At 48.1% G+C, this 17,232-nt stretch overlaps 1 protein-coding gene and 1 non-coding gene across 10 annotated transcripts in view, besides 3 other annotated features; both read left to right on the top strand.

Annotated features, from left to right (window-relative positions):
* Positions 1 to 17,232, top strand: part of SEPTIN6 (septin 6) — a 77,445-nt gene that overhangs the window by 42,388 nt on the left and 17,825 nt on the right. For 8 of the 9 annotated variants that reach the window (NM_145802.4, NM_145800.4, XM_011531317.4 and 5 more), the window contains exons 5-7: positions 683 to 844; positions 9,993 to 10,089; positions 13,586 to 13,754. In NM_145802.4, the coding sequence (NP_665801.1) occupies positions 683 to 844; positions 9,993 to 10,089; positions 13,586 to 13,754 (428 nt within the window). The remainder of the gene's footprint in view (positions 1 to 682; positions 845 to 9,992; positions 10,090 to 13,585; positions 13,755 to 17,232) is intronic. The other variant, XM_047441938.1, reaches the window with a different exon arrangement.
* Positions 2,700 to 2,879: an enhancer, noted in NCBI's record as "active region_29885". NCBI's record gives its function as "activates an Ori minimal core promoter by ATAC-STARR-seq in GM12878 lymphoblastoid cells {active_cell/tissue: GM12878}" and the evidence as "EXISTENCE:reporter gene assay evidence [ECO:0000049][PMID:35858748]".
* Positions 3,933 to 4,043, top strand: MIR766 (microRNA 766). Its single transcript, NR_030413.1, has one exon. It is a non-coding gene; the product is annotated as a microRNA 766 (primary transcript).
* Positions 11,410 to 11,459: an enhancer, noted in NCBI's record as "active region_29884". NCBI's record gives its function as "activates an Ori minimal core promoter by ATAC-STARR-seq in GM12878 lymphoblastoid cells {active_cell/tissue: GM12878}" and the evidence as "EXISTENCE:reporter gene assay evidence [ECO:0000049][PMID:35858748]".
* Positions 11,970 to 12,089: an enhancer, noted in NCBI's record as "active region_29883". NCBI's record gives its function as "activates an Ori minimal core promoter by ATAC-STARR-seq in GM12878 lymphoblastoid cells {active_cell/tissue: GM12878}" and the evidence as "EXISTENCE:reporter gene assay evidence [ECO:0000049][PMID:35858748]".

The raw sequence follows: 17,232 nt of genomic DNA, 5'->3' as shown, positions 1-17,232 counted from the left end.
CCTAACTGAGTTGATTATTCAGTGTCTCCTGCCAGAAAGAGAGCCAGGTGTGCATCCTCACTGAGCACTGTCCCTGCCTCCTTTCCCTGCCATCTCTCATGTGGGTCCATATCACACCCGGCTTGGGCTAGACTAGACCCGATGGGTTGGGACAATTTACTCTTAGCAAGAAGAGGCCACCTCTCCCCTGTCAGCCACAGATTCCCAGCTATCACCTTTCTGCTTCAAGTCTCCCAAGCAGTAACCTTGATACCAAGATAACATACAGCTCATCAACTTGGATCTGAACTGGTAGACAGCTCATGCTTAAGACTATGGACTTAGGAATAAGGCTGAGTTTGGATTTGAATCCCAGTTCTCCTACTTACCTGCTCCATGGCCTTGGACAAGTTACTTAACCTCCCTATGCCTTAATTTCTCATTGGCAAAATAGTAGTAATAATACCTCCTGGAAGGGTTATTGTCAGGATTAATTGTGCTAATTCATGTAAAGCACTTAGTTCAGTGCCCAGCACATAGTTAGTACTTGTCGTTTATTATATTGTCATTTGGCTACAGAAGTGGCCAGTCTTTGACCACTGGGCTGAGCGGCTCCCTCTGGCAGCTGGTGGAAGTCCTAGGTCATGCTGCTATCAGTTGCAGGTTACCAACAATGACCCCACTTTGCCCCTCCTCTCCCTAGGTGAACATCATCCCCATCATTGCCAAAGCAGATGCCATTTCGAAGAGTGAGCTAACAAAGTTCAAAATCAAAATCACCAGCGAGCTTGTCAGCAACGGAGTCCAGATCTATCAGTTTCCTACAGATGATGAGTCGGTGGCAGAGATCAATGGAACCATGAACGTGAGTGGGAGCAATTTCCTGACCATTTGCTTTTTATGATGATTATCATTATTTTAATGTGCTTTAGAGACAGGGTCTTGCTCTGTTGCCCAGGCTGGAGTGCAGTGGTGTGATCACAACTCACTGCAGCCTTGAACTCCTGGGCTCAAGGGATCCTCCCGCCTTAGCCTCCCAAGTAGCTGGGATTACAGGTGCACTCACCACACCTGGCTAATGTTTTAATGTTTTGTAGAGACGGGGTCTTGCTATGTTGCTCAGGCTGGTCTTGAACCCCTGGGCTCAAGCGATCCTCCTGCCTCAGCCTCCCAAAGTACTGGGATTACAAGTGTGAGCCACCACGCTGACCCCTTTATTATTATTATTATTTTACCAAATAGCAGCAAAACATCTTCACCATCCATCTTAGTGTAGTCAACTCTTTTTTTCTTTTACTTTTTTTTTTTTTTTTTAAGACAGGATCTCATTCCATTGCCCAGGCTAGAGTACAGTGGCACAATCTCGGCTCACTGCAACCGAGATATGTTATTTTTAAATATCAGGGTTGGCTGGGCATGGTGTCTCACGCCTGTAATCCTAGCACTTTTGGAGGCCGAGGCGGGTAGATCACCTGAGGTCGGGAGTTTGAGACCAACCTGGCCAACATGGCAAAACCCCGTCTCTACTAAAAAATACAAAAATTAGCCAGGCGTGGTGGTGTGCGCCTATAATCCCAGCTACTCTGGAGGCTAAGGCAGAGGTTGCAGTGAGCCAAGATTACGCCATTGCACTCCAGCCTGGGCGACAGAGTGAGACTCCATCTCAAAAAAAAAAAAAAAAAAAAAAAAATCAGCGTTATGCTTTGCTTTATTAAGTGTGAATGAATAATAATAATAAAAAACCTTGCCATCTTTCCTCTCCTCCCCCACTTTCTCCTACTAGAGAAATGAGTAATAAAGAAGGCAGAGATGCAAACATCTCCTAATGCTTCCTTACAATGTGTTGCTGTTGCTGTGAAATCTTCAATGTTGTGATTTCAAGGAGACAGCTAATAGCTTTCAGAAAGCCTCCGCTTTAGGAACAGATTTCTTTTTCTCTATTGAGTGTCATCAGTTTTTCCTAATGACATAATGCCTGGGTATAGCCAAACTCAGGAAAGCCTTGTAATAAAAGCCATTTTTAGAAAACTTTCCTGCTGCCACTGCCCTCTAAGTTATCATTACAACTTCAGCTGCCACCTCCTATGAATTGGCCAACAAATTAGCATAGCAGGGCAGCAAGTCATTGTCTCTCCTGACTTCCTGTCCATCAGTACACCCGAGATGTGTTTGTTATCACCATCACCATCTTAGACAAATCTGGCTCAAGGGTAAGGCTATCTGGAGCATGGTAGGTAGAGATAGGTCTTCTCTGACCGGCCGTGGGCATGGAAAAAATAAAAAAGATTAGCACTTGTCCTCTCGAGAAGTCAGGGCATTTTGATGGAAACTAGGCTCTGTTATGAAGAGACAGCCTAGTCTGCAGAAAAACGGGAGCCTCGCGAGAAGTGTCATCTGGGTGCCACGGGCACTGATGTCTGGAAGCGTCTAGTCACCTCAGGACATCAGTCCCCATAGAGACCTTCTGAACACTGATGCCCTAAGTCATCAAGCAGCTTGCAGGCTTGTGGTTTGCTTTGCTAAGAATAAATAGGGACTGAGAGTACTCAGCCATCTCAAGGTGTCACACAGAACCACATCTTGGTACCTCATGGATTAGGAGTGATAATCATCCTGGGCTCTGTTCTCAGCTCAGCTCTGGCCTCCTGCTAAGCCTAGGGTAGGCTCAACCTCAAGGCTGGAAACCCCCAAGCTAGGCAGCAGCAGTTGTCAAGCATGCTGTTATGGCTGTGAAGGGATTCTGGGTCCTTTATTACTCATAATTGTGTTTCACTTTGAGAAACAAAATTCGAGGCTGAACAACATAGTGAGACCTCATCTCTACTGAAATTTAAAAAAAATTAACTAGTGGCCGGGCGCGGTGGCTAACGCCTGTAATTCCAACACTTTCGGGGGCCAAGGCAGGTGGATCACCTCAGATCAAGAGTTCGAGACCAGCCTGACCAACATGGAGAAACCCCGTCTCTAGTAAAAAGACAAAATTAGCCAGGCATGGTGGCGCATGCCTGTAATCCCAGCTACTCAGGAGGCTGAGGCAGGAGAATCGCTTGAACCCAGGAGGCAGAGGTTGCAGTGAGCTGAGATCTCGCCTTTGCACTCCAGCCTGGGCAACCAGAGCAAAACTCCATCTCAAAAAAGAAAAAATTAACTGGTGCTGTGGCGCACACCTGTAGTCTCAGCTACTTGGTCGGTGGGTGGCCTAAAGTGGGAAGATTACTTGAGCCTGGGAAGTTGAGGCTGCGGTGAACCCTGATCGAGCCACTGCACTACTGCAGGCTGGGTGACAGAGCAACACCCTGTCTCACAAAAAAAAAAAAAGAGAGAGAGAAAGGAAAGGAAAGAAAAAGAAAGTAAATAAAGAGAGAAAGAGAGAAAGAAATAAAAAGGAAGGAAGGAAGGGAGGAGGGAGGGAGGGAATTCCAGTGGAAGGAAGGAAGGAAGGAATGGAGGAAGGGAGGGGAGGGGAGGAGAGGAGAGGAGCAGGGAATTCCAGTGGATTCAGGATTATCCCTATCATAAATCACTCACCACTTACTCCCTTGCATCCTACTGTGCTTTGTTTTTTTTTTGAGACAGGCTCTCACTCTGTCGCCCAGGCTGGAGTACAGTGATGCAATCAATTTCAGCTCACTGTAGCCTCCACCTCCTGGGTTCAACTAATCCTCCTGCCTCAGCCTCCCGAGTAGCTGGGACCACAGGCATGCACCACCATGCCCGGCTAATCCACTATGGGTTTTTTTTGAGTGGGAAAGAGAGGAGTGGCCTCACAGCTAGTGTGCCTGAATTGGCATGCCTGTGAGAGGAGCTTGCATGTGAGTGTTTTGTGTTACATGCGCTGTGATGGGAAAGAGGGTGCTATCAAATATACACAGAGGATTGCTTAGCCTGCCTGCCACCGAACAACTATGTCAAAAGTCCCCAGAGTCTTCACACAAGCCGTGGTGTATGAAGCTGCATCCTCAGGACCTGGGCTTGGGTGGTAGGAGGAATTGGTGCTGGTCTTTCATTTTGGATTTGACTCCAGCCCCACAGCCTCAGCCACCCCAGCCAATTGTCATAGGAGCTGGATTGGAAGAAGCGGAAGAAATCTGTTGCCTGAGTGGAGAAGACTGTACAATGTCCTGTCTCTCACCATGGGGGATTTTTGTGGCAGGAAATGAGAGTAATGAGGTCCCTGCCACCACCTTGAATTATGGGTGGCTCCAGAAAACCTTATTGTAGATTGAGGGGGAAGAGAAGGGAGAGCGAGGTCTTGTTGCATGCTATTTTCAACCCATGCTCTGATATCTCTCAAGGTTGTAGACTTTAATACTAAGAATTGCTATGTTATTTTAAATTTAATGATGTTCTTTGAATGGCTGAAAGCATGGCCAGGACCAGCAAAAAGGCCCAGTTACTTAATTGACTGAGCTCCATTAATTGTCCATTTGTGAGGTCTGGGGTTTGGTTCCCACAAAGGCAATTGACATTTGGGCCCAGTGAGAACACATGGCTGAACAGTAGGGTCATAGGAAGACCCACAGGCACAAGTCCATCCCTTCCTCTGAGACAGCAATGGTATTTCCATTGTTGCCATGTACTTTTACAGGAATCACCAGTGGTTGACTTGAGAGCAAATCAGCCAATGGTCTTGTTCAGTCACCAGCAGGGGCCTGAAATGGGGACTAACATAACTGGGAAACACTGTCCACCCTGGGAGGAAACCAAGCCCAATCAGAATATTATCATTAGATGAGGAATAAAGAGTTCTGACAGTGTGTATTTCACTGGGCTAAGCAGTCACCTAGCCTCCCAAGTATAATGGATGTGGTGAAATAAGAATAAAGTAACTCACGCCAATTGGATTATTAAGTACTTTACAATGTACAAGAAGAATTTAAGTTAGACACAAGTCAGTAAAGGTGGTGCTATGGTTTGATTGTGTCCCCTCCAAAATTCAGGTGTGGCCAGTATGATAGTATTAAGAGGTCGGGGCTGGGTGCAGTGGCTCACACGTGTAATCCCAGCACTTTGGGAGGCCAAGGTGGGCGAATCACAAGGTCAAGAGATCGAGACCATCCTGGCCAACATGGTGAAACCCCGTCTCTACTAAAAATACAAAAAATTACCAGGCGCAGTGGCTCATACCTGTAATCCCAGCTACTTGGGAGGCCGAGGCGGGTGGATCACCTGAGGTCGGGAGTTCGGGACCAGCCTAACCAACATGGAGAAACCCCGTCTCTACTAAAAATGCAAAATTAGCCGGGCATGGTGGCACATGCCTATAATCCCAGCTACTCAGGAGGCTGAGGCAGGAGGATCGCTTGAACCCAGGAGACGGAGGTTGTGGTGAGCTGAGATCACGCCATTGCACTCCAGCCTGGGCACCAAGAGCAAAACTCCATCTCAAAAAAAAAATAGCTGGGCATGGTGCCACACACCTGTAGTCTCAGCTACTCGGGAGGCTGAGGCAGGAGGATCACTTGAACCCGGGACGCGGAGGTTGCAGTGAGCTGAGATCACGTCACTGCACTCCAGCCTGGCGACAGAGTGAGACTCCGTCTCAAAAAAAAAAAAAAAAAAAAAGGTAGGGCCTTTAGGAATTGATTGGGCCTGGCCAGGCGCGGTGGCTCACACCTGTAATCCCAGCACTTTGAGAGACCAAGGCGGGTGGATCACCCAAGGTCAGGAGTTCAAGACCAGCCTGGCCAACATGGCGACATCCTGTCTCTACTAAAAATACAAACATTAGCTGGGCGTGGTGGCAGGCACCTGTAATCCCAGCTACTCAGGAGGCTGAGGCAAGATAATCGCTTGAACCCGGGAGGCGGAGGTTGCAGTGAGCCGAGATCGTGCCATTGCACTCCAGCCTGGGCAACAAGAGCGAAACTCTCATCTTAAAAAAAAAAAAAAAATGTGATTGGGCCATGAGGGCTTCTCCCTTGTTAATGGGATGAAGGCCCTTTTTTTTTGAGATGGAGTCTCGCTCTGTCGGCCAGGCTGCAGTGCAGTGGTGCGATCTTGGCTCGGCTAACCACAACCTCCGCCTCCCAGGTTCAAGCAATTCTCTGCCTCAGCCTCCCGAGTAGCTGGGATTACAGGCGCCCGCCACCACGCCCGGCTAATTTTTGTATTTTTAGTAGAGATGAGGTTTCACCATCTTGGCCAGGCTGGTCTTGAACTCCTGACCTCGTGATCCACCTGCCTTGGCCTCCCAAAGTGCTGGGATTACAGGCGTGAGCCACCACACCTGGCCGAAGACCCTTTTTAAAGAGACATCATGCAGTGTTGGGCTAGCTTGTCCTTCTGCTGTGTGAGGATGCGGCAAGAAGGTCCTCACCAGACCAGAATGCTGGTGCCTTGATCTTGGACCTCCCAGCCTCCAGAACTATGAGGAATAAATTTTTTTTTTTTGAATAAATTTCTATTGTTGATAAATTACTCAGTCTCAGGTAGTTTACTGTAGCAAGACAAAATGCACTAAGACAGATGGTGAATCTAGGAATGGACTCCCAAGGAAGGCTTGCGACTATCTCTTGTTGGAGTTTTCTGACACTGGGAAATCTGATATCCGAGGGCGCCTCATTGGAAGTCTGAGTGAGAGAGTCACACAGACTCTCCTGAGAGGCCTGTTTGTGTTTCAGCAGCAACACTGCCCTGCATCTATCAGAGTCTCTTCCCTGGGTCCACACATAGAAAATGTCACCACTGTCTGTCAGTTTCCTGCAGAGACCTGGGAAAAATAGCAGAAAGCCTGGCCTCAGATTTGGATCCCATTGGTAGGACCTAGAAGTATGGTCCGTGGTGGTGCGGGGGGAGGGTGGGTATCTGCTCTCTGCTCTGCTCGACTCTATTCTGGTTGTCAAAGCCATCTGTCTCTCAAAAGCAGTGGAACAGAGGGCCAGAGCCTGGTCCCCATGATTTCCTGCTTGTCATGGTTTGCTTCCTTCTAGCAGATGCCATGTAGCCAGGAGGCAGAGTGCGGACCACCCTAGGTGGCTGGGAGAGGTTGGCAGCCAAAGCTCGGTGGCCTCGCTGCTGCTTCAGAGGATCTGGGCATGGGGGTTAGGGACCTAGGCAACTCGTTTAACCTCCATGTATCCCAGTTCCCTCAGCTCACGAATGGATCTTTTAATCATTGCCATAGAAGGATGTTGTGAAAATCAAACCAAAGGAGAGCGCTGGGAAATGCCTACCTTGCATATACTTATCAAAGCAGACTGACGCCAGCTGCAAAGGAGCGTGCTGTGGGAGGGCTGGGGCTATGTTTTTGAGCTAGAAGAATAAAATGACAGCAGTTTGAGAAAGAGGGGGAAGCAAGTCACCCTATCATTCTGACGGTGTCTCTTGATGGTAAAAATGCAACAGGCCCGAGGGAATACTGACATTTTTGTATGCCTTTGTTTTCTTCTTGGTTTTTTTTTTCCTCGAGCTCAGAGAAGCACCTCCCAATTCACATGCCTTCCTCCTCCATCACTTACAGCTGAGAGCCCAGGAGGAGGGAGTGCTACAACGTGGTTTTTCTTTATCACCTCCTCCCTCAGTCTAGCTCTCTGCATTCGCCACCCCTTGGCTCTTCTGTGTCATGTGGCTGAAGCTGTGGGGTCTCTCCAGGGGAAATGTCCTCCCAGAAAGTGTTTAGGGGTGGATTCGAGGCTCCCGATATGTCTTAGGTCCCTGAGTAGGGATGAATTGTGCCCAGATCAACTCTCCTGGCAAAGATTGGACATGCTTAGGCCCTTGGGCAGCATTTTCAGGAATTCAGTGCTTCCCAAATGCCCTGTGTGTCACTTGCCCAGTTACTCTTTTGGTCATTCCCCTCCCAGGACTGATGAAACATTTCCCACCTCCACCCCACACCCACCTTCCATAATCCATAACCTCCTCTTTCCCATGTCCAGATTTAAGGGACAGTCAGTGGAGTGGGGAGGGGTCGGAGGGTGTCTGAGACGATCGTCTGATAGCAGCTGAGAGTGGAGAGGGTGAAAGAAGAGCAGCTTCAGCTGGCGGCCAAGCAATTTGAGGGACTGGTGGAGGTCCTGGAGCTGAGCTCCTGATGAAATCCTGTGTTCTTCTGCTCTGAAGGACATTTTTGGGGTCCAGAGCTAGAGGAGAATGGAGAAAAGAATTGACTGTGAGATCAGCCTGTGGATTAAACAAACAAGCGACAGATTTGCTGTGGGTTTCCCTGAATTGAATTGCCTCTGATAATCTGGTCTTGCACAACTAGTTCCCCCCAAGGTTTAGAGTACGCACCTCATCTACTGCTTGAACCCCCTAAATGGAGGTAGCAGACCAGCAAGGGGTGGGGTTTGAAGTTATTCTGTTCCTTACTATTGTGTGCCTGCTGACAAGTCTCTTAGCCCTTCTGGACCTCAGTTTCCCCATCTAAAGAGGAGACTAATAAGGCAACTTACCATATAGTGTTGTAGAGATTCAGTGAGACAATGCCATGTAAAGCAGCTGGTACCCAGTGCATAGGGCTTAACAAATTATTGCTAATGCTAATGCTGTTAGTATGATTGCCACTACCTACTCTGAAACAACTTATTTGACTTCCCAAGAATTGCTCCCTCCTCTGTGTTACTCCAGCCCTTTAGCCTCTGTTTACAACCTTGATTTTTCTTTTTTTTTTTTTTTTTTTTGAGACTGGGTCTTGCTCTGTCACCCAGGCTGGGGTGCAGTGGTGCGATCTCGGCTCACTGCAACCTCCACTTCTGGTACAACCCTGATCTTCCTGTATGATCGTTGTTGAGATGGCTTTCTCCCTTGGCACACTGTGCACTCTCCGGGGCCAGGGTCTGTGCTTTTTTGCTATTACGTCATTCTTAATGCCTAGCACATATCATAGGAGCTCAGTAAATATTTGTAGAATGGATGAGTGGGCAAATGGGTCAGAATATCTGAGATCATGGCCTGTTTCTGCAGGCAGGCTAAGAAACTTTCCCCATAGGCTCTTTACCTGTTGGTGTAAAGCCCTTTTGGGCAAAGCCCCACCTGGGCTCACCTGGTCAGTAAACATTGATTCCGTGGTTCCATCTGGCTGTGGTGACTTAGCACTTACAAGCTGGCTAGCTCCTTGTGGATTACGGCTCTGTGAGTGTTTCCTAGGCCCCATACTGCCAAGTCGGGGCAGCTCTCTCTTCTCTCATCCATAAAGCCAGGCCAAGCTCCTCATTTTCCCTGTGAGCACCAAGCTCATAAACCTATTTGTCCTTTGCCTTTCTTTCCTCTTTCCCTAGCCCTACCACTGCCATTCAGGAAGTATTTATTAAGCACCTACTATGTACAGGGTACCAGACCATATACTTGAGCCCTTGATCACATACTATCTTATATGACTTGAGTTATGTAATTTGGGCTTCCTCAACAAGACTGTAAGCTCCTAGAGGGCGAGGGAGCGTGTCTTCTGCTGCTTCTGTCTGCCTTATAGCACCTACAGAAGAACCCAGCATGGTCATGTGAGTAAATCCTTGGTGACTTGCCTTCTAGGCTCACAAGTTCAATGTGAGCTCTTTCTCCGGGGAAGGATGAGAACAAGGAGAGTACAGCTCAGTTGGCTGTGTGGTCTCAGTATGGACCTAGTCTTGGGGCTCTTGCATGCCAGGGAGGGAGAAGGGCCAGTGATCCCAGACCCTTTGGTACTCCTTTATCCTCTCTATCCACACAGAACCCCCCTCATTCCACTTCCCCTTCTTCCAAAGGCTCTTCCCCTCAGCAGTAACTATGAATAGCGAATAGTTTGGTAATCTGTGTGTCTGCTTATTATTCTGCTTATTTTCTCTCTTTGTTCCCTATGCATTCAGCCATGTCATTGTTACCCTCTATTGTGAATTTCTGAACAGCAGAGGCTTGGACTAGGCCTCTTATCCTCACATGGTTTGGGAACTTAATAAATGCTTGTTGGTGATGATGACAGTGAGGGACATTGCAGGGTGAGGGCCTGGGGCCCCAGAGACGAACAGCAGTTGGGTTGTGTAACACTCAGTGCCTTTCTTCTGCAGTTCTCAGCTTTCGTTTGCCTTCGGTTTCAGGCCCACCTGCCGTTTGCTGTCATTGGCAGCACAGAAGAACTGAAGATAGGCAACAAGATGATGAGGGCGCGGCAGTATCCTTGGGGCACTGTGCAGGGTGAGTGAGTCTCCGGGAAGGGCTACACACAGGAAGCCCCTTTTGTCTGTCTCTTTGTTTGTCCCCAGCCACTATATGACAAGTTTCTAAATTGTCCCAAGTCTCTGCTCATTCGGCATGGGTCCCAAATAGCCATAGGGGTCACTAGCAAGCTAACTCTGGCTCCATACTGGGATGCTCTGATGGGAGCAAGCTCCCTCTAATTTCTAATGGGAAAGGTATTCCTAAAACACAAGGACTTGCAAGGTAGGAAGGAGTGTGCGAAAAAGCATGTGTTCTTGCCCAAGTGCACCTGAAGAATGTTCACAGTAGTGTTGTTTGTAATGACAAATAATTACAAACAATTCAGATATTCTTTAAAATAGACTGGATAGGCCGGGCACAGTGGCTCACGCCTGTAATCCCAGCACTTTGGGAGGCCGAGGCGGGCGGATCACGAGGTCAGGAGATTGAGACCATCCTGGCCAACATGGTGAAACCCCATCTCTACTAAAAATACAAAAAAAAAAAAAAAAAAAAAAAAGACTGGATAGTGGGAGGGTGGGAGGGGGATAAGGGATTTAAAAAAACTACGTGTTGGGGCTGGGCGCGGTGGCTCACTCCTGTAATTCTAGCACTCTGGGAGGCCGAAGAAGGCGGATCACCTGAGGTCAGGAGCTCGAGACCAGCCTGGCCAACATGGTGAAACCCCGTTTCTACTAAAAATACAAAAAAAAAAAAATTAGTCAGGTATGGTGGCATGTGCCTGTAGTCCCAGCTACTCAGGAGGCTGAGGCAGGAGAATCGCTTGAACCCGGGAGGTAGAGATTGCAGTGAGCTGAGATTTTGCCACTGCATTCCAGCCTGGGCGACAGAGTGAGATTCAAAAAAAAAGAAAGAAAGAAACATACCATTGGATTCCCTTTGTATGAATTCCAAAAGGAGGCAAAACTAAACAAGATATATATTCTTAGGAATGCATACATAAGAGGTAAAACTATAAAGAAAAACAAAGGAATGATAATCCCCAAAGTCAGGAGAAGGATTAAGTCTCTGCCAGGGGAGTTGAGGGATAGAGGGGGATGAGATTGGGAAAGGGCACTCAGGGGCTTCCAAGGTACTGGTAATGTTTAACCTGAGTTGTGGAGACATTGGTGTTAATTTTTCAAAAATTCTTTAAATTGTACATACACATTTCATGCTCTTTGTATGTATGATTATTTCACAATTGAAAAGCAATTAGACATATTGTATTACACTCAGGAAAGTTCCTTCTGTGATCTGCCTGACATATGTTAACTTACCCTCAGGGCTAGTCAGTTCAGTGCACAAGACAAGGCCAAGGATGGCGCTGTGGGTAGAAGAGGTCTCTGGTCCTCAGAGTCTACAGCTAGAAACTGGGCCGTGGCTGATAGGGGCATCGTGTGAAAGAGTGGCTGGTTCTCTGTAAACTCATCCCTACCACTGGGGAAACACCTGAAAGTGGATGGCGAGTTGTCCACATCACATACGAAGGCTGGCATGTTTTAGGACACCCCACACACCCACTGGCAATAGCTGGATTTTCCATAGGTAGGACAAGACTGGTTATCAGAGCTGTGCTAAGTTCTGGTCTTCTCTGCTGTTCGGAGCTGGGGATGCTCCACTAGGAACGTTTGCAAATGGTTTCTGGACCCACAGTGTCCCACCCTGGGAATGGACTTGTGGTCTGAGAAACAGGAACCTGAAGTGAGACGAGGAGAAGCCAGTAGACATGGTTCCAATGACTTATTTCATCTGATGTGGACTACTCTGAACCTAAACAGAAAAGGGGGTTTTGAAAGTTTTTCTTGTAAGTCTAAGTTGACTGTTCCGCTTGAATGAGGAAGAAGTTGTATATTGCTCAGGCAGCCTGCAGGGCCCTCGGAGGCACTCCTTCTGACTCACCATTAGAGATCACTGTCCAGAGATGGAGGAGGAGATGGCATATAGCATAGTCCTGAGAAGTTGTCTTACTGATGTCATCTTTAATATTAGCCTGTGTTCTATGACAGCAGGGGGCTTTATTCCTAATTCAGTGGGTCTTAAGCAGAGGGATTATGTGAGCTGATTCGGGCTTTGGAAAGATTAATGACCACAAGGTAGTCTGCTTCAACTATGGCTGACCCACTTATCCCAGACCCTTCTCTGCCCTCACTACCCTCTTCCAGACCCTGCAAGACAGAATCTGGGGTGATTGCCTGTTCACTTCAGACACCATTTTTCCTACTTGTTCAGGGCAAATACCACCATCCGACACAGTGAAGCCATACCTGTAGCCACCTTGACAAAGTGCTCCTCGTGACCTGGTCCAGCCAGAAATCGATTTTGCTATGACTTGGTCCACATCTGTCATTCTTGACCACTGCCCCAAATTGCAGACCTTTGCTTGCACTCTTTTGAGGAGGGGACTTGTTCACACAGGCCAGAAAGTGGGGTCCCCTTGCTCCTAGTCACCACTGCTACTGTCAGGCCATTATCTACCTTCTAAAGAAACCACCTCCTTGGAAGCTTCTACCATCCAGGTGGGCCATGCCTGCGGTCCACACCCCTCCTTGTCACTGTCATCTATCAATATCCTAGTTCTTTCCCCTTATTCTTTGGAGACTTTGTCACCTCCCCTACATTGCCTGGGTTTGAACCCTAATTCTGCAACTTACTAGCTACATAACCTTGCCTAGCCTCATTGACACTTTGCAAACACCATTCCCTTCTCTGGCTGATAAATTGCTATTCTTCCTTCCAGAGTCATCTTAGAGATTTTCTCTTCGGTGAAGTCTTCACTTTCCCAGGAGTTCTTAGGTTCCCCTCTTCTGAGCTTTATTGCAACTTGGCTATCCCTCTATTTTTGTAGTTGTGCACTGAATTGTATTTGTCTATTTGTATCTATTCTTCCTCTAAACTATAAGCTCCTGAGAGCAAGATTCCATCACTTCGTTTCTGAATTCCCAGTGCCTCACACAATACTGGGAACAGAGATTCCACAAATATTGATTGGATGGATGGATGGATGGATGGATGGATGGATGGATGGATGGATAGATAGATGGATGGATGAGTGGATGGATGGATGGATAGATGGATGGATGGATGGATGGATGAGTGGATGGATGGATGGATGGATGGATGGATGGATAGATGGATGGATGGATGAGTGGATGGATGGATGGATGGATGGACAGATGCATATATGCTGTTGTCCTACAAGTGGTGCAGACCAAACATTCTTTTGAGGGTTCTGACTGCTGAATTTAGATTGTGGTGCTACTGACTGTCTTAATAAGTATTTTTATGATATCACAGTTTTTCATTACTGGCATTTTTGTAACCTTTCATTTACATTTTCAGTAGAAAAGAGAGGAGGTAAATTTGCAGGATCTAAATACACAGATTGCAAGGCAACGTCACTGTTAGACATTTTGCCTCTCGTTTCATCCATTTCTGCTTCTGCTGGCCTTCCTTTCAACATACTTTCAATACCCCAAATCCTGCTATGCAGTTGAAAACGAGGCCCACTGCGACTTTGTGAAGCTGCGGGAGATGCTGATTCGGGTCAACATGGAGGATCTGCGGGAGCAGACCCACACCCGGCACTATGAGCTGTATCGCCGCTGTAAGCTGGAGGAGATGGGCTTCAAGGACACCGACCCTGACAGCAAACCCTTCAGGTACCGCTCCTGCCAGCCCAGCCCAGCCCAGCCCAGCTCAGCTCAGCCCACTCAGGTGGTGTGGAAGCCTTCCCCTGGAGAATTCACAGGGGAGGCGAGACACGGGTGCTAAGACCTCAAGGAGCAGGGGCGACTCACTTGCCAGTTCTGCTTGCCTGTTCACCCTTTGCCTCTGCACACCTGCCAGGAGAGCTGTGGGGAGCAGGCTTGGGAAGTACCGCCGCCTTGCTTTTAAGGGCAAGGGAAGGGAGGATGCCCAGAGGACCAGCAAGGCTGATCACCACACACACATGCACGCATCCATGACAGCTCCAAGCAGCTGCGCTGGGGGGAATCCCCAAGCTGGGGCCCTGTTCCACGAGGTGGCAGTTGGTAACTGTCCTCTGCCCCTCTTTCTTCATCAGGCTCCTGGCGCTCAGACAGGTTTCTAGTCTGTTCTTTACCCATTTCCCCATTCTCAAACCCAGATAGGACCAGGTAGCATGCCCTTGCCATGCATCGATGAACTGCAGGCTCTCCAATTGCTGTCCTTAGTGTCTGCATTCAAGTGCAAGTTCTGTTTTGACCGCAGGATGTTGATCATCACTGCCATATTTCTTAAATCAGAATGCTTTTAGAGAAGGGGAATGTTTTTGAAAGCAGGTTATTATGCAGAGAGGAGTAATGCGCCAAGTAGAAGTGTCTGATCTATATGCGTGATGTGTGAAATAAGCCCCACAGTTGAAATTACCACGTGGTGCCCTTTATGGTGGTCAGGCATTAATAAGCAAGTGAGGGAGATGTCTACCAGTTAAAAAGGCTTTCAAAGAGCCTCTGAGATCTTACTCTACCTGTGCACAGCCTAAAGCTGGCCTGGAGTCAGAGCCTAACCAGTCCCTTGGGGATATTTGCTTCAGGAGGGACAGGCTCATGCCCTATATACTGACAGGTGGGGCTGGGGGAAGCCATGCTTGTCTTTTTCTGGTGGGAGCTCCCTGGCTGTCTTCCCCACCTGCAGCTTTCATCTGCATTTGTAGAGGAGTAGGTGTGCCTCCACCTGGTCATTTTGTCTCCTTCCCTCCTCCTTCACTCCATCCTGAATACCTCTGTTTCCTGTGTCTTCGCCTTCTTCACTCCTTCTCTGCCAGCTCCTTCCCATGCTGCATGTAAGCATTCTTGTGCTGAAGAAACTCTCCCTTAACCCTGCTCTTTCTTACCAGCCTCTGTCCTGTCAAGAAGTCCTTGACAGGATGAGGAGAAAGAGTTGTTCTATGTTTACTGGTTCCTCTTCCCCATCTCTCATTCATTCCTCAATCCACTGCAGTCTGGCTTCTGTCCCCAGCATAACCACTCAAATGCCTCTCTCCAAGGCCAGGAATCGCAGACTTGTGGCCAAGTTCAATGTGGCCTTTGGTTTCCATCTTATTTGATATCAACGCAGCACTTTATGCCATTCCCCACTGCCTCCTTGAAATGCTCTCTGCCTTTGGCTTTTCTAGCACTGGCCTGGCTGATTCTATTCCTATCTCTCCTACTATTTCTTCTCAGCCTCCTTTGCAGGCTCGTTTTCTTCACCTTACTCCTTTAAATGTTGATATACCCCCCGGGATTCTTTCCTAGAGCCTCTGCTCCTTTCACTTTCTGTTCTCTTTGCAGCTGGTTCTTTCTACTCTCACAGCCCTAATTACCACCTAGAAGTAGATGGTTCCCAAGCTAGTCTTACTTCTGAGGTCTAAACCCATTAATCCAACTGCATCCTGGATGTCCACTCAGACATCCCATAGAGGACCTCCCCGAAAATCAAGCTCTGTACAAATTCATCTTCTGCCCTCTTAAGCATGTGTCTCCAACATTCCCTGTTGCCATTCATGATACCACCATCCACCTGGTTGCCCAAGGATAATCAGAATTACCTTTGGCTCCTCCCAAGTCCTGGGAGTTCTGCTTCCCTTACTGCTCCCTCCATTCCCTCCCAGCCCTTAACATTAAGATCCTATCACTTCTTCTTTTCTTTTCTTTCTTTTTTTTTTTTTTTTTTTGAGACAGAGTCTTGCTCTATCGCCCAGGCTGGAGTACAATGGCACAATCTCGGCTCACTGCAATCTTGGCTTCCCGGGTTCAAGCGATTCTCCTGCCTCAGCCTCCCCAGTAGCTGGGATTACAGGCGCCCACCACCTCACCCAGCTAATTTTTGTATTTTTATTAGAGATGGGGTTTCACCATATTGGCCAGGCTGGTCTTGAACTCCTGACCTCAAGTGATCTACCCACCTTGGCCTCCCAAAGTGCTGAGATTACAGGCATGAGCCACCACACCTGGCCAAGATCCTGTCACTTCTTACTTGGATTGATGGACAGTCTATCCTTCCCACAGCACAGCCGGAATGGTCCTTCTCATTTTCAAATTGGATCTAGTACTACTTCCTGCTTTAAAACCATGCAGTGTGTACATATCCAATTTTTAAATATGGCATTCAAAGCCTGTTCTCTTCCTCCAGGCTCAGGAACTTTGTCTGCCTCTACTCCACCACTGCCATGGTGCTCTCTGGCCATGTTGAACCATACCTGGCTCCCCAAGAATGTCATTCTCTCTTCACACCTGCTTTCTTACATGCTGCCCTCTTTGGATCACAGTTCCACCTCTTCTTCACCAGGCTATTGCTTTTTTTTTTTTTTTTTTGAGATGGAGTCTCACTCTGTCACACAGGCTGGAGTGCAGTGGCGCAATCTCGGCTCACTTCAACCTTCGCCTAGCAGGTTCAAGTGATTCTCCTGCCTCAGCCTCCCGAGTAGCTGGGATTACTGGCGCCCACTACGACGCCTGGCTAATTTTTTGTATTTTTTAGTAGAGATGGGGTTTCACCATGTTGGCCAGGCTGGTCTCGAACTCCTGACCTCAGGTGATCCACCCGTCTTGGCCTCCCAGAGTGCTGGAATTACAGGCGTGAGCCACTGCACCCAGCCTATCTCCTATTTCTTTAAAAATAAGCTTAGGCCAGGGGCATCTCCCACTAGACCATGAGTTCCTTGATGGCAGGTATGATGGCTGTTGGCTCTAGAGGCTGAGTGACTAGCATCATGTCAATTAGTACTGAGTCTAGCACATATGGAGTCTCCTCAAGCATTTGTTGAAATAGTTCATTAATGTGGTCAGTTTCAGAGCCAGGGCCTGGCAGCATTGTGCAGTGGGAAAACCCAGATGAAGAGACAGGAGACTCAGCTTCTGGTCAAAGTTCTCCCTCTAACTAGCCGTGGGGCCTTGAGTAAGACACCTCACCTCTCTGGGCCTCAGTTTTCTCATCCGTAGAACAAGAGTATAGAACCAGATATTCTAAGTCTCTCCAGTTCACTAGGGTTGCCCCATCCCCCTCCAGAATCCCTGTGGGCATGCTGTCATGGGCCAAGCCAGGTGCCCACAGCTTTGTGGTTCTATTTTTGTACCTGGCTCACAACTGGGGAAGGGAGGACAGAGGAACCCAGTGAGGATCTTTGGGGCCAGT

This window comes from Homo sapiens, chromosome X, assembly GCF_000001405.40.
Source record: "Homo sapiens chromosome X, GRCh38.p14 Primary Assembly".
Taxonomy (NCBI): domain Eukaryota; kingdom Metazoa; phylum Chordata; class Mammalia; order Primates; family Hominidae; genus Homo; species Homo sapiens.
Note: the sequence above shows the minus strand (reverse complement) of the source record. Positions and strands in the feature narration are given on the sequence as shown.